The 12,494-nt window shown below is 48.1% G+C and overlaps 1 pseudogene across 1 annotated transcript in view, besides 6 other annotated features; it reads right to left on the minus strand.

The window, feature by feature from the left end:
* Positions 1-739: part of a biological region, named in NCBI's record as "GBAP1 recombination region", that runs on past the window's edge. NCBI's record gives its function as "recombination_partner: LOC106627981".
* The window catches only part of GBA1LP (glucosylceramidase beta 1 like, pseudogene), a 13,710-nt pseudogene extending 3,602 nt beyond the window's left edge, over positions 1-10,108 (minus strand). Inside the window, 5 exon segments of the transcript NR_002188.3 lie at positions 93-167; positions 538-623; positions 962-1,053; positions 1,422-1,516; positions 9,956-10,108. The product of NR_002188.3 is annotated as a glucosylceramidase beta 1 like, pseudogene (transcript).
* Positions 52-152: a non allelic homologous recombination region, noted in NCBI's record as "sub-region c', recombines with sub-region c within the GBA recombination region". NCBI's record gives the evidence for it as "EXISTENCE:nucleotide sequencing assay evidence [ECO:0000219][PMID:12587096]".
* Positions 457-482: a non allelic homologous recombination region, noted in NCBI's record as "sub-region b', recombines with sub-region b within the GBA recombination region". NCBI's record gives the evidence for it as "EXISTENCE:nucleotide sequencing assay evidence [ECO:0000219][PMID:12587096]".
* Positions 722-739: a non allelic homologous recombination region, noted in NCBI's record as "sub-region a', recombines with sub-region a within the GBA recombination region". NCBI's record gives the evidence for it as "EXISTENCE:nucleotide sequencing assay evidence [ECO:0000219][PMID:11112377]".
* Positions 9,510-10,087: an enhancer, noted in NCBI's record as "H3K27ac hESC enhancer chr1:155196727-155197304 (GRCh37/hg19 assembly coordinates)". NCBI's record gives its function as "activates a minimal SCP1, AML or CMV promoter by ChIP-STARR-seq in primed H9 embryonic stem cells {active_cell/tissue: H9 hESC(primed)}" and the evidence as "EXISTENCE:reporter gene assay evidence [ECO:0000049][PMID:30033119]".
* Positions 9,993-10,042: a silencer, noted in NCBI's record as "silent region_1399". NCBI's record gives its function as "represses an Ori minimal core promoter by ATAC-STARR-seq in GM12878 lymphoblastoid cells {active_cell/tissue: GM12878}" and the evidence as "EXISTENCE:reporter gene assay evidence [ECO:0000049][PMID:35858748]".

Raw genomic sequence — 12,494 nt, forward strand, 5'->3', positions numbered from 1 at the left:
GACTCTGCTTATCACTTGCCAGTCCTAATAGTGTCTGAGTCAGGGCCAAAAGGAACTTGGGCTCCTGGGTTGGAACCTGTGGAGGCTGGCACCTGGGTGAAGCGCAGGCCTTTCTGAGCCTGAGTCCGTAGCAGTTAGCAGATGATAGGCGGCGAAATCTTATTTCACTGGCATTAAGACAGGAACCAAATGTCAGGGATGGGCAGAAGTCAGGGTCCAAAGAATTGGCAAAGAAAAGTGTCAGTGGCTCTATGTCATCCTGTCCCCTTCCTCCTCATCTTCTTCAGAGAAGTACCATTTAAGTAGCAAATTCTGGGCAGGGGGTGACAGGGCAAGGATGTTGAGGGCACCTGCATCTGTCACGGCCCCTCCAAATCCCTTCACTTTCTGGAACTTCTGGCTGCAGGATCAGTAGCAGGCCTGAGGACATCCACAGGGTTATCAGTGCCCAGGGGAGAAACTCCATGGTGATCACTGACACCGTTTACCTCTAGGAGGACCCAGCCTGGCCCGGGGGGTGAAGGGTGTAATGGTTACCTGTGCCGGTGCAATTAGCCTGTATGGTCCTGTACTCAGCTCCATCCAATGCCCACTGCTTCTGCTCTTGTAGCGGCTGAAGGCACCTAGGGCAGGAAAGGTCGGGGGGTCAAGAGTCACAGTATGTGGCATTGCAGACACAGACCACCGAGCTGTACTGAAGCTTTTAGGGATGCAGGGGCACCACCTGGGAGGGAGGGAGCACAAGCAGAGGTGAGGTCTGACAAGGATGTGGAGAACGGACACAGCTGTTTGGAGAGACTGAAGACGGTTTCAAAAATCCTCACCCCAAAGTTGGTCTCAGTCACTCAAAAGGATTTATTGAGCACCTACTAAAAGTCTACCACCAGCTTACTGGAAGGCTACCAAAGGACTATGAGGCAGAAGGGAGGCTCTGTGCTACCTCCCCACTGCCTTGACTCACTCATCTGATGCCCACGACACTGCCTGAAGTAGAAGCAATCCTGTGAGGCTGCCAGCCATGATGCTTACCCTACCCGAAGGCTTGGGACATTCCTGAGGACAGAATGAGGAATGACTGAAAAGCAAGTCCCTCTCCACCCCTCAACTACTCTCCCGGGCAGGGCTTAGCTGCCTTTGGGTGCCCATGGCCTGGTCTCCCACATTCATTAGGACAAGGCCCACAGACACCTGGGTGCAGCTCTCCCTGCAACCCTTCTGATGACAACTCTCTGCCCACCCCAAATCAGGATGCTCCCCACCACTCTTCCCACCCATTTCAACTTCGACCCCTCCCTCCATCTGTGCCTTGCTCAAAGAGCCATGATGGCCCTGGATTCAAAGAGAGTCTGTCATTCATTAAATTCCAGTGCCAGGATTCCAGAAGCACTGTGACAATGCTGATTGGGAGCTCTCTCTCTTACCTCTCTGGAAGGACTTGAAAACTCCATCACCTCAGGGTCACTAGATGAGGAGAAGAGCACAGGGGTTCCAGAGTCTCTGAAGGATAGAGGATCCACTAAACAAAAACAAGGATGCAGGTACCTGCCATAGCTATAGGCACTAGGTTACTCCTGCAAGTAATTCTGGCTTCCCAATGTGGATGGGTCATGTGATGACTAGGAGAGTCACATGACACAGGAAGTGAGGCAATTGCAGCCATATTTCTAAAGGGCAATTGGCTTCCTCCGAGTTGTTACAGATTATACACCCTATAAAATTCTGGAGGGTATATGTGAATGACAACTTTAGGAAGAGCCTAGAATACGAAAGACAGACTTGGATGGAGAATCGGGTAAAGATTCCTAAATCCCAGAGGATGGGAACCACAGCAGGCACGCTGCTTTTTTGATAAAAATTTCAAAATGATACAAATAAAGCTAATACCAAAAAAAAAACAAAGAACAAAAACAAAAAAACCTTCATTGCACAACATGCTGAGGCTACCGTGATGTTTAAGACACAGTCTTTGCCCTATAGAGGTGCATGAAGCATGGAAGTCAGACACAGATATTTACAGGTAAAAACAGAAACAGTAACAGGTGTGCATGGAGAGCTCTCTGAGATGAGGAGGGACCATTCGTGGGTGGGGAATTATCCAGGATGCCTTCAACACAGGAAAAAGTGAGGGGGGTTATTAGCCAGTGAAGTGTAGGGCGCAAGGAGGGTGGGACACTGGCAGTGGGGTGGCAGGACTGGAGGGAGGGGAGTGGTCAGCTTGGCTCCCCTGCAGCACCCCTCATTTACTCATTAAGGGCCTCGGAGAGTCACATGACACAGGCAGTGAGGCAATTGCAGCCATATCTCTAAAGGGCAATTGGCTTCCAGATGCAGATTGTAATAACTGTTCTTCCTTCCTCACAGGACAGTGAGGTTTTAAAGTAGTTCAGAAACCAGAAAGTGTTGTAAAAGGCCATATGCTTAGTGGACATGTGAAGGAAGTTGTCCATGCCATTTGCCTCATGAACCACATCAAATGAGATTTGGTGGGAGTGGCACACACAGTCATGACCAGACTAACCCCAGCTCTCAGCCTATTTCCTCACCTAGAAAATGGAGGCAATGCCACAACCTCAAAGGGGTCAGTGAGGTAAATGCAGTGCCTGGCAACTTGGGAGGCGCCTGGGAACTATTTGTCTGTTGTTTGTATCTTTTTTTGTACAGTTTTAGTGAGACGGCAAGGTTGGAATCCTTGCTACACCATTTACTGGCTGTTTGACCTTCAGTAAATCAATCACTCTAAGCCTCTATTTCATCTATAAAAGGGGAGTGATAACTCCTACCTCATAGAACTGTTGTGAGGTTTGAGTGTGATAATGTGTCTCTAGTACACTGCTTGACACTAAACATTGCAACATGTCAGGCCTCTGTTCCTGGAGTTCCTTGAAGGAATGTCTTACACATTCTAAATATCCTTGTAGACAGCCTGGCACAGGGGTAGTTGTCAAGTTGTAGAATTGAACTAGTTGCTTCACTATGTCAGTAGCCACCCCTTCCAGACTTCCTGCTTTTCTCTTTTTTTTTTGTTTTTTTGAGATGTTGTCTCACTCTGTCACCCAGTCTGGAGTGCAGTGGCCGATCTCAGCTCACCGCAACCTCTGCCTCCCAGGTTCAAGCAATTCTCCTGCCTCAGCCTCCCAAGTAGTTGGGACTACAGGCACGCACCACCACGCCCGGCTAATTTTTGTATTTTAGTAGAGATGGGGTTTCACCATGTTAGCCAGACTGGTCTCAATCTCCTGACCTCAGGTGATTCGCACACTTTGGCCTCCCAAAGGGCTGGGATTACAGGCGTGAGCCACAGCACCCGGCCTGACTTCCTGCTCTTCAAGGAAACGTTGCACAGGATTTGTTCTGGGTAGGGCAGGTAATTATCTAGTACCTTACTTCCCTCAAATTCATTCATCTCACAGATATTTCCTGAGCACATTCCACATTTGCCTCTCCTGCTTTAGCGAGTTTAGAAGTTCAACCATCTCCTTTCTCTTACCCTCTGTGTACAGGGAGTGAGCTGCTTCTTTTTTGGCCAGGTACTGAGCAAAATTTTTTTTTTTTTGAGACGGAGTCTTGCTCTGTCTCCCAGGCTGGAGTGCAGTGGCACGATCTCGGCTCACTGCAAGCTCCGCCTCCCGGATTCACGCCATTCTCCTGCCTCAGCCTCCTGAGTAGCTGGGACTACAGGCGCCTGCCACCACACCCGGCTAATTTTTTGTATTTTTAGTAGAGACAGGGTTTCACTATGTTAGCCAGGATGGTCTCCATCTCCTGACCTCGTGATCTGCTGGCCTCAGCTTCCCAAAGTGCTGGGATTACAGGCGTGAGCCACCACGCCCAGCCTAGTGTCTGTATTTTTTGTAGAAATAGGGTCTTGCTATGTTGTGCAGGTTGGTCTCAAACTCCTAAACCCAAAGGATCTCCTGCCTCGGCTTTGCAGAGTTCTAGGATTACACGCACAAGGCACCATGCCCGCCCCTCTTTTCTTCTTTTTATACTTCATTTTGTAAAATTTTTCCAGGGTGGCTGGGCACGGTAGCTCATGCCTATAATCCCAGCACTTTGGGAGGCTGAGGCAGTGGATAGCTTGAGGACAGGTGTTCATGGCCAACATGGCAAAATCCCATCTGAAATGAAAATACAAAAATTAGCTGGGTGTGGTGGTGCACGCCTGTAATCCCAGCTACTTGGGAAGCTGAGGTACGAGAATCACTTGAACCCAGGAGTCAGAGGTTGCAGAGACCCAAGATTGTGCCACTGCACTCCAGCCTGGGAGACAGAGTAACACTCTGTTTCAAAAAAAAAAAATTTCCAAGGTGGATATTATTTCACATTTCATATTTCCTGTACAATGTGATTTGTCCTTGAGGATTTTCTATTTTATTTTCTAAGTAAAGTTAGTTTTAATAAGGACTAATGTTTATTGTGCCAAAGACAAAATTACAACAAATTTAACGATCTCGACTGGATTCCTTCCTTCCTGCCTTCCTTCCTTCTTTTCTCCTCTTCCCTCCCCTCCCCTCTCTTCTCTTTTTTCTTTCTTTCCCTCCCTCCCTCCCTCCCTCCCTTCCTCCCTTCCTCCCTTCCTTTCTTTCTTTCGACGGAGTCTTGCTCTTTCACCCAGGCTGGAGCACAGTGGCTTGATCTTGGCTCACTGCAAACCCCGCCTCCTGGGTTCAAGCGATTCTCCTGCCTCAGCCTCCCGAGTACCTGGGATTACAGACGCACACCACCATGCCTGGCTGATTTTTGTATTTTTAGTCAAGACGGGGTTTTACCATGTTGGCCAGGCTTGTCCCAAACTCCTGACCTCAGGTGATTCACCCGCCTCGGCCTCCCAAAGTCCTGAGATTACAGGCATGAGCCACCATGCCCGGCCCTGATTGGGCTTTTTCTACAAAAAATTCTTGTGAAACTTTTCTGCAATATTTTATAATAAAGTCCTACTGATTTATATTTGATTTTATATTTGTAAGTCAGGTGAAATGAGTGAATTCTTCCTTGTGTATGAATGTACTACATGTTGCAGAATGTCTACCTTTCCTGGGCTCCATCCACTAAATTCTCAAAGTGCCTCCTAATCATTGTCTCTATTAAAGATGCCCCACAAATTTCCAAAATGCCCCTAGGGTGTGCCTGAGAGCCACTACCCTAGGTGCCTCTCTTCAAACACCTAGGCCTCACTGCAGTGGCCAATAGGGGCATACTAGGTGGCCACAATCACGTTCCTCTGTCCCCTTTGTATAGCACTTGAAAAAGAGTTTGCTAAGGCCTGGTACGGTGGCTCATGCCTGTAACCCCATCATTTTAAGAAGCTGAGACAAGAGGATCCCTTGAGGCCAGGAGTTCAAGACCAGCCTGGGCAACATAGAGAGACTCCGTCTTTACAAATATATATATATATTTATTTATTTATTTTTATTTTTTTTGGTAGAAAAGGGGTCTCCAGTGGCCGGGCGCAGTGGCTCATGCCTGTAATCCCAGCACTTTGGGAAGCTGAGGCGGGCAGATCACGAGGTCAGGAGATGGAGACCATCCTGGATAACACAGTGAAACCCTGTCTCTACTAAACCCCATCTCTATTAAAAATACAAAAAATTAGCCGGGCATGGTGGTGGGCACCTGTAATCCTAGCTACTCGGGAATCTGAGGCAGGAGAATCGTTTGAACCCGAGGTGGATGTTGCAGTGAGCCGAGACGCGCCACTGCACTCCAGCCTGAGTGACAGAGCAAGACTCTGACTCAGAAAAACAAGCAAACAAAAAAAGACAGCTATATACCTAGGGAAGACATAAATATAAGTGAAAAGCAGAAGTACAAAAATAGTTCGGCTGACCCAGCAGCAATTTTGATCCCATCCCAGCAAGACCTGTCTTGGAGTGTAGGTCTGGCTCAGATAGCAAACTCCAGCCCTTTCACACTGACAGGTATCATATCACAGGCTCCTAGGTCTTTAGGTCCCATGGAGAGTGCCACTCCCAGTTCCACTGTTAGTTACTTCTATGGTCTGTGTTCAAGTCAAATAAAGACATTTGTTCATTCCATGCACAGCACAGAGTAGGTGCTCAAAAAAGTACTTTTTATACAGATGAATGAACAACTACTACCAGTTAACCTAGAACCTGTCCTTTCAGCTCTAGTTTTTAATTGTAATTTTATTTTATTTTAGAGACAGGGTCTTGGCACAATCACAATTCACTGCAGCTTTGACCTCTCAGGCTCAATTGGATCCTCCCACCTCAGCCTCCATAGTAGCTGGGACTACAGGTACATGCCACCATGCCCAACTAATTTTTGAAATTTATTTTTAGAGATGGGGTCTTCCTATGTTGCCCAGGCTGGTCTCGAATTCCTGAGGTCAAGCAATCCACCTGCCTCAGCCTCCCAAGGTGCTGGGATTATAGGCGTGAGCCATCACTCACCTCTAGTTTCTGGCCTGAGGGTATATTACTCTCCCTGATTACTGACACCAAAAATGATTTCACTCTTGGGTGGGACCTCTGCTGCCCCTTACCCACTAGGGTGTGGGTTTTTTTGGTTTGTTTTTGTCTTTTTTAAGACAGGGCCTCACACTGTCATCCAGGCTGGAATGCAATGGTGTGATCCTGGCTCACTGCAGCCTCGACCACCTGGGCTCAAGGGATCCTCCCACCTTAGCCTCCTGAGTAGCTGGGACCAGAAGTGCACACCACCACACCAAGCTAATTTTTTAACTTTTTATAGAAACAGGTTGCCTAGACTGGTATCGAACTCCTGAGCTCAAGCAATCCTCTTGCCTTGGTTTCCCAAAGTGCTGGAATTACAGGCGTGAGCCACTGAGTCTGACCTTAGGGTGTGGTTTTACCATTGGATTCATGTGATTTACCAATGCTTCAACAGTAACCACAACATTCAATGTACAGCCCAGTGCAGATGGAAGGTCCTTGTACCTCATATGATCTCTTCCAATTTTTCGCAAGATAATAGTCAGTCTTTCATGAGTGCTTATTACATGCACTAGCCTGACAACTCTACATTACAGATAAGAAAATTAAGACTTAGAGGCCAGACGCGATGGCTCACACCTGTAATCCCAACACTTTGGGAGGCCGAAGCGGGCGGATCACAAGGTTAGGAGATCGAGACCATCCTGGCTAACACGGTGAAACCCCGTCTCTACTAAAAATACAAAAATTTAGCCAGGCGTGGCGGTGTGCGACTGTAGTCCCCGCTACTCGGGTGGCTGAGGCAGGAGGATGGCGTGAACCCGGGAGGCGGAGCTTGCAGTGAGCCAAGATCGTGCCACTGCACTCCAGCCTGGGTGACAGAGCGAGACTCCATCTCAAAAAAAAAAAAAAAGAAAAGAAAACTAAGACTTAGAGAAGTTAAATATGTGGCAGAGTGAAGCCTAAGCTCATATCTGTCCTAATCTAAATTCCAAGCAGTTCTGAGTCATCAGGTCACACAGACTGCTTCTCACATGCTTCAGGAATGCCTTTTCAGTCTTCCTTAAAGGTTGCAAACAGTTGCAAAGCAAATTTCATGGTTCCTGTTTCTTCAAAATCTCAAAGCTCTTCATTCAGCCAGGCATGGTCGCTGGAGCGTGTATATTCAACCACTTGAGAAGATGAGGATCTTTTGAGCCCAGGAGTTTGAGACGAACCTGGGCAACATAGGGAAAGCCCTGTCACCTAAAAAAATAAATAATACAACCAGCTCTTCATTTAGAGGCAAGCACAAAATAGGTGCTCAATGTTTGTTGAATGAGTGAGTTGTTACCAACCATACCCCATTATTCAAGGTCCTGCTTGTCAGTGTTTCAGGAAGTGTTCTTGGCAAAGGAGTGGTGAACTTCAGGAAGAATGATGCTGACTCCGAACACAATTATTTATTTATTTATTTATTTATTTATTTATTTATTTATTTACTTATTGAGACAGAGTCTCGCTCTGTAGCCCAGGCTGGAGTGCAATGACGTGATCTCCGCTCACTGCAACCTCTGCCTCCCAGGTTCAAGCAATTCTCCTCCTTCAGCCTCCCAAGTAGCTGGGATTACAGGCGCCCGCCACTACGATCGGAGAATGTTTTGTATTTTTAGTAGAGACAGGGTTTCGCCATGTTGGACAGGCTGGTCTCAAACACCTGACCTCATGTGATCCACCCACCTCGGCCTCCCAAACTGCTGAGATTACAGGCTTGAGCCAGTGTGCCCAGCCTGAACACAATTATTAAAGTCAAAGTGAGACCTAACAGTGGAACTTTGGTTGCGGCTACAGGAAATATGGATTCAAATACTGAACACCAGCTGGGCACAGTGGCTCACGCCTACAATCCTAGCACTTTGGGAGGCTAAGGTAGGAGGACAGCAGAGCCCAAGAGTTCGAGACAAACCTGGCCAACATGGTAAAACGAAAAAATTAACCAGGCATGGTGATGCACACCTGTAGTCTCAGCTGAGGTGGGAGGATCGCCTGAATTGAGGTAGTGGAGGCTGCAGTGAGCTGTGTTCCTGCCACAGCACTCCAGCCTGAGCAACAGAGCAAGACCTTGTCTCTAAATAAATAAACACAACAAAAATAAAACAAATACTGAGCCAGGTGTGGTGGCTCCTGCCTGTAATCTCAGCACTTTAGGAGGCTGAGATGGGCAGATCACTTGAAGTCAGGAGTTCGAGACCAGCCTGGACAACATGATGAAATCTCTACTAAAAATACAAAAATTAGCTGGGACTGATGGCGCTAATCCCTGCTACTCAGGAGGCTGAGGCAGAATTGCTTGAACCTGGAAGGCGGAGGCTGCAGTGAGCCAAGATCACCCCCACTGCTCTGGGTTGCAGTGAGCCAAGATCACACCACCTGGGTGACAGAGCAAGACTGCATCTCAAAAAAAAAAAAAAGAAAGAGAAAAGAAAAGAAAGAGAGAGAGAGAGAAGGAAGGAAAGAAAGAAAGAAAAAGAAAAAGAAAGAAAGAAAGAAAGAAAGAGGAAGAAAGAAAAATAAAAGCATAGAGAGTGCTGGAGCAGTGTGAGTGAGATGGATAGTGGTAAAAGGTGACCTTGGAAAAGGAAATTGGGAGGCCAGATTGTGTAGGGTCTTGGTGGCCATGGTAAGGAGTCTGAATTTTGTTCTAAGATGGAAATTCACTGTAGAGTTTGGTGCTGGGAAGTGACAAGATCACATGTGTATTTTTAAGAGATCACTTTGGGTGCTGTGTAGAAATCAGACTGTAGGAGTCAAGTGTGGAGGGAGACCAGCATCCAATTACAGCCTGCCATGAACTTGCCAGGTTCCTCTTCCCTTCCTTCAGCACACACTACTCTTTCCCACCGCTTAGCCTAGTTAACACTTATTCTTTCAAAATTAGCCCGGATGTCACTTTCTCTAAGAACAACCGCGCCCCCTGCCGCCTCCCCACCTCACACACCTCCTCTAACGCAAACTCATAGCCCTCACAACTTCTTTGTCACTTTTTCTCCCCCTTTTTTTGAGACAGGATCTCGCTCTATTCCCCAGGCTGGTCTCGAACTCCTAGGCTCAAAAGATCCTCCCGCCTCAGCCACCCGAATAGCTCCTTTGTCGCTCTTATCACTGTTGTGATTAATTGTACAAATGGCTTAATGGCAGTTATAGCGCCCAGCTCATCAAAGGCAGTGGCCTGCCAATCGTCAGCGGGCAGGGCAGGGACCAGTCCAGTCCATCCTGGCTCCCATGTGCAGCCCCAGTGCGCATCGCGACACCGGCGCTCGTTGCCGCGCTCCGTGAACGTTTGTCACATGTCCGAAGAATGAATGAATTATATACCTTTCTTCCCACTCCAGCCCTCAAAAAGCAAGTGGATACAAAGACTTGAAGATTTTATAATCGCTTCATTAGTAAAATTTGACCATCCTTACCATTAAAAATAATGATAATGATGAAAAAGGCTAAGTGCGAACGCCGGGAGGGGAGAGCTAAAATTCAAAGGGCGAAATATTTATAATGCCTACCGTCGGCGAAGAGAAACAGCAGCCCCAACCGAAGGCAAAAGGAAATCCCACCGCAGCCTCCAAAGGCGCGTGGGCGGGACTGGAGAATGGGGCCCTGCGCACTAGGCGCGGAAGTCAAGAAGCAGCCCCACCACCCGTGCCGCGAGAAAAGCAGCCCTGGGGAGGCGGGGCGGGGCCTCACTTGGAAAAGAGACGGTCACTCATCCAGAGGCGGGACTCAGAGCCCCTCCACAAGTCTCATTGGTCCATTTGAAGACGGACAACTCTCCCTGACCATCCGTAGCACAGACGGGGCGCAAGCGTATTGGAAAGGGAGCGGGTGCCAGACGCGAGAACTACGCATGCGTCTCAGCGCTTTCCCGCCAGCACACCCTTAGTGGGTGGGGGGGGGCGATTGAATTCCCACAGTGAGTCCAGCCCACCGAAGCTGAGAGGATTCCTAACCTTCCTCTTCAGAGAGCCTCAGGTTAGGGAACGTCCAGTGCCCAAAAGCTGCCCTGTGGGAATCCCATTGTCCACCGCCTCTTACCTAATGTTTCGTTCTGGCCTTGCCCCATCTCTTCCTGAGGCTGGGTTGTTACGATGGTGAATTATTCAAGATGTCTTGCAGCCTGACGCCATCTCTGGGCAGTGCTCCTGCATCCTCCCTGTCTTCCTTGGGAGGGCACCACGTTGCTCTTACAAGCACAGGGTCCTGAAACTGTTTACAAGGCCCCACTCTGCCACGTTAGTATCTTAACGAGTGTTTGTTGAGGAAGCACTGTGTGTTAGACCCAGTGCAATGAGCAAGTCCCTGATCTTGTGACCTTACATTCTACAGGACGACACAAACGTATAAACAAAAAATAATTTTAGATAGTGATACATGCTTAAAACATGGCTATGTGGCCGGGAGCAGTGGCTCACGCCTGTAAATCCAACATTGTGGGAGGCTGAGGCAGGTGGATCACTTGAGGTCAAGGAGTTCGAGACCAGCCTGGCTAACATGGCAAAACCCCGTCTCTACTGAAAATACAAAACTTAGTCAGGCGTGATGGCAGACACCTGTAATCCCAGCTACTCGGGAAGCTGAGGCAGGAGAATCGCTTGAACGCAGGAGATGGAAGTTTGCAGTGAGCCCAGATCACACCACTGCACTCCAGCCTGGGTGAGAGAGCCAGACTGTATCTCAAAAAAAAATAAAATAAAATAAAATAAAGCTATGTGATAGAATGACTGCGATGGGGATTAGGTCCTCACTGAAATGGTGAGAGTGGAGTTAAAACCTGAAATTAGGTGACAGCACCAGATATATCTGCCCGAGGGTTTCGTGCTTGGAAAATAGCAGGTGCAAACGTCCTTGTGCTGTGAGGAAATTTGGCTGGAACAGAAGGTGGGCCAGATTGTAGCTGACCATAGTCTCTGAGAGCTTGGAGATGATTCTAAATACAATGGGAAGCCATTAAATTGAGGCAGAGCCTTGATGTGACGTGCTTTATCATCATTTTGCTGAGTGGAGAATGGATTGCTGGGAAAAGTGAAAGATTGATTCAGAGGTTGTGGAGAGAGGGTGGCTGGAACTAGGTAGCTGGGGAGGTGGTGGGACGTGGATGAATTCAAGATAGGATTGGTTGTGTTGGATATGGGAAAAGAAGTCACCATGGTTCCTGGGCTTTTGGAATGTGCAAATGGGTAATGGAGGTGCCATTGAGATGGGAACAGTGGAAAAATAACCGGTGCTGGGGTGGGAATGAAGAGCTCAGTTGTGTGGCCGGGCGCAGTGACTCACGCCTGTAATTCCAGCACTTTGGGAGGCCGAGGCAGGGGGATCACCTGAGGTCAGGATTTGCAGACCAGCCTGGTCAATATGGCAACACCCTGTCTCTACTAAAAATACAAAAACATTAGCCGGGTAGCGGGGCCTATAATCCCATCTACTCGGGAGGCTGAGGCAGGAGAATCGCTTGAACCCTGGAGGCAGAGGTTGCAGTGAGCCAAGATCTCGCCATTGCACTCCAGCCTGGGCAACAAGAGCAAAACTCTGCCTAAAAAAAAAAAAGAGTTCAGTTAGTTCAGTTGTGGCCATGTTGAATTTGAAATACTCATTAGACATCCAACCAGATATGCTGAGTTGGATGGCGCTCAAGAGAGGTCAAGGCTGGACTTATGCATTAACACATAGAAAGATGGTACTTAAAGCCATGGACGTTAGTAGTAGGGCCACCTACAGAAAGAGTGGAAGTAGAAAAGAGGGCTTACGGTGGGCAATGTGGTTCACGCCTCTAATCCCAGCACTTTGGAAGGTCAAGGCAGGCACATCATTTGAGGTCAGGAGTTTGAGACCATCCTGGACAACATGGTGAAACCCCGTCTCTACTAAAAATACAAAAACTAGCCGGGTGTGGTGGCATGCACCTGTAGTCCCAGCTACTCAGGAGGCTGAGGCAGGAGAATCGCTTGAACCCAAGAGGCGGAGGTTGCAATGAGCCAAGATTGCACTGTTACACTCCAACCTGGGTGACAGAGCAAGACTCCATTTAAAAAAAAAAAAAATTGATGG

Source organism: Homo sapiens, chromosome 1 (genome assembly GCF_000001405.40).
Source record: "Homo sapiens chromosome 1, GRCh38.p14 Primary Assembly".
In the NCBI taxonomy this organism is placed as follows: domain Eukaryota; kingdom Metazoa; phylum Chordata; class Mammalia; order Primates; family Hominidae; genus Homo; species Homo sapiens.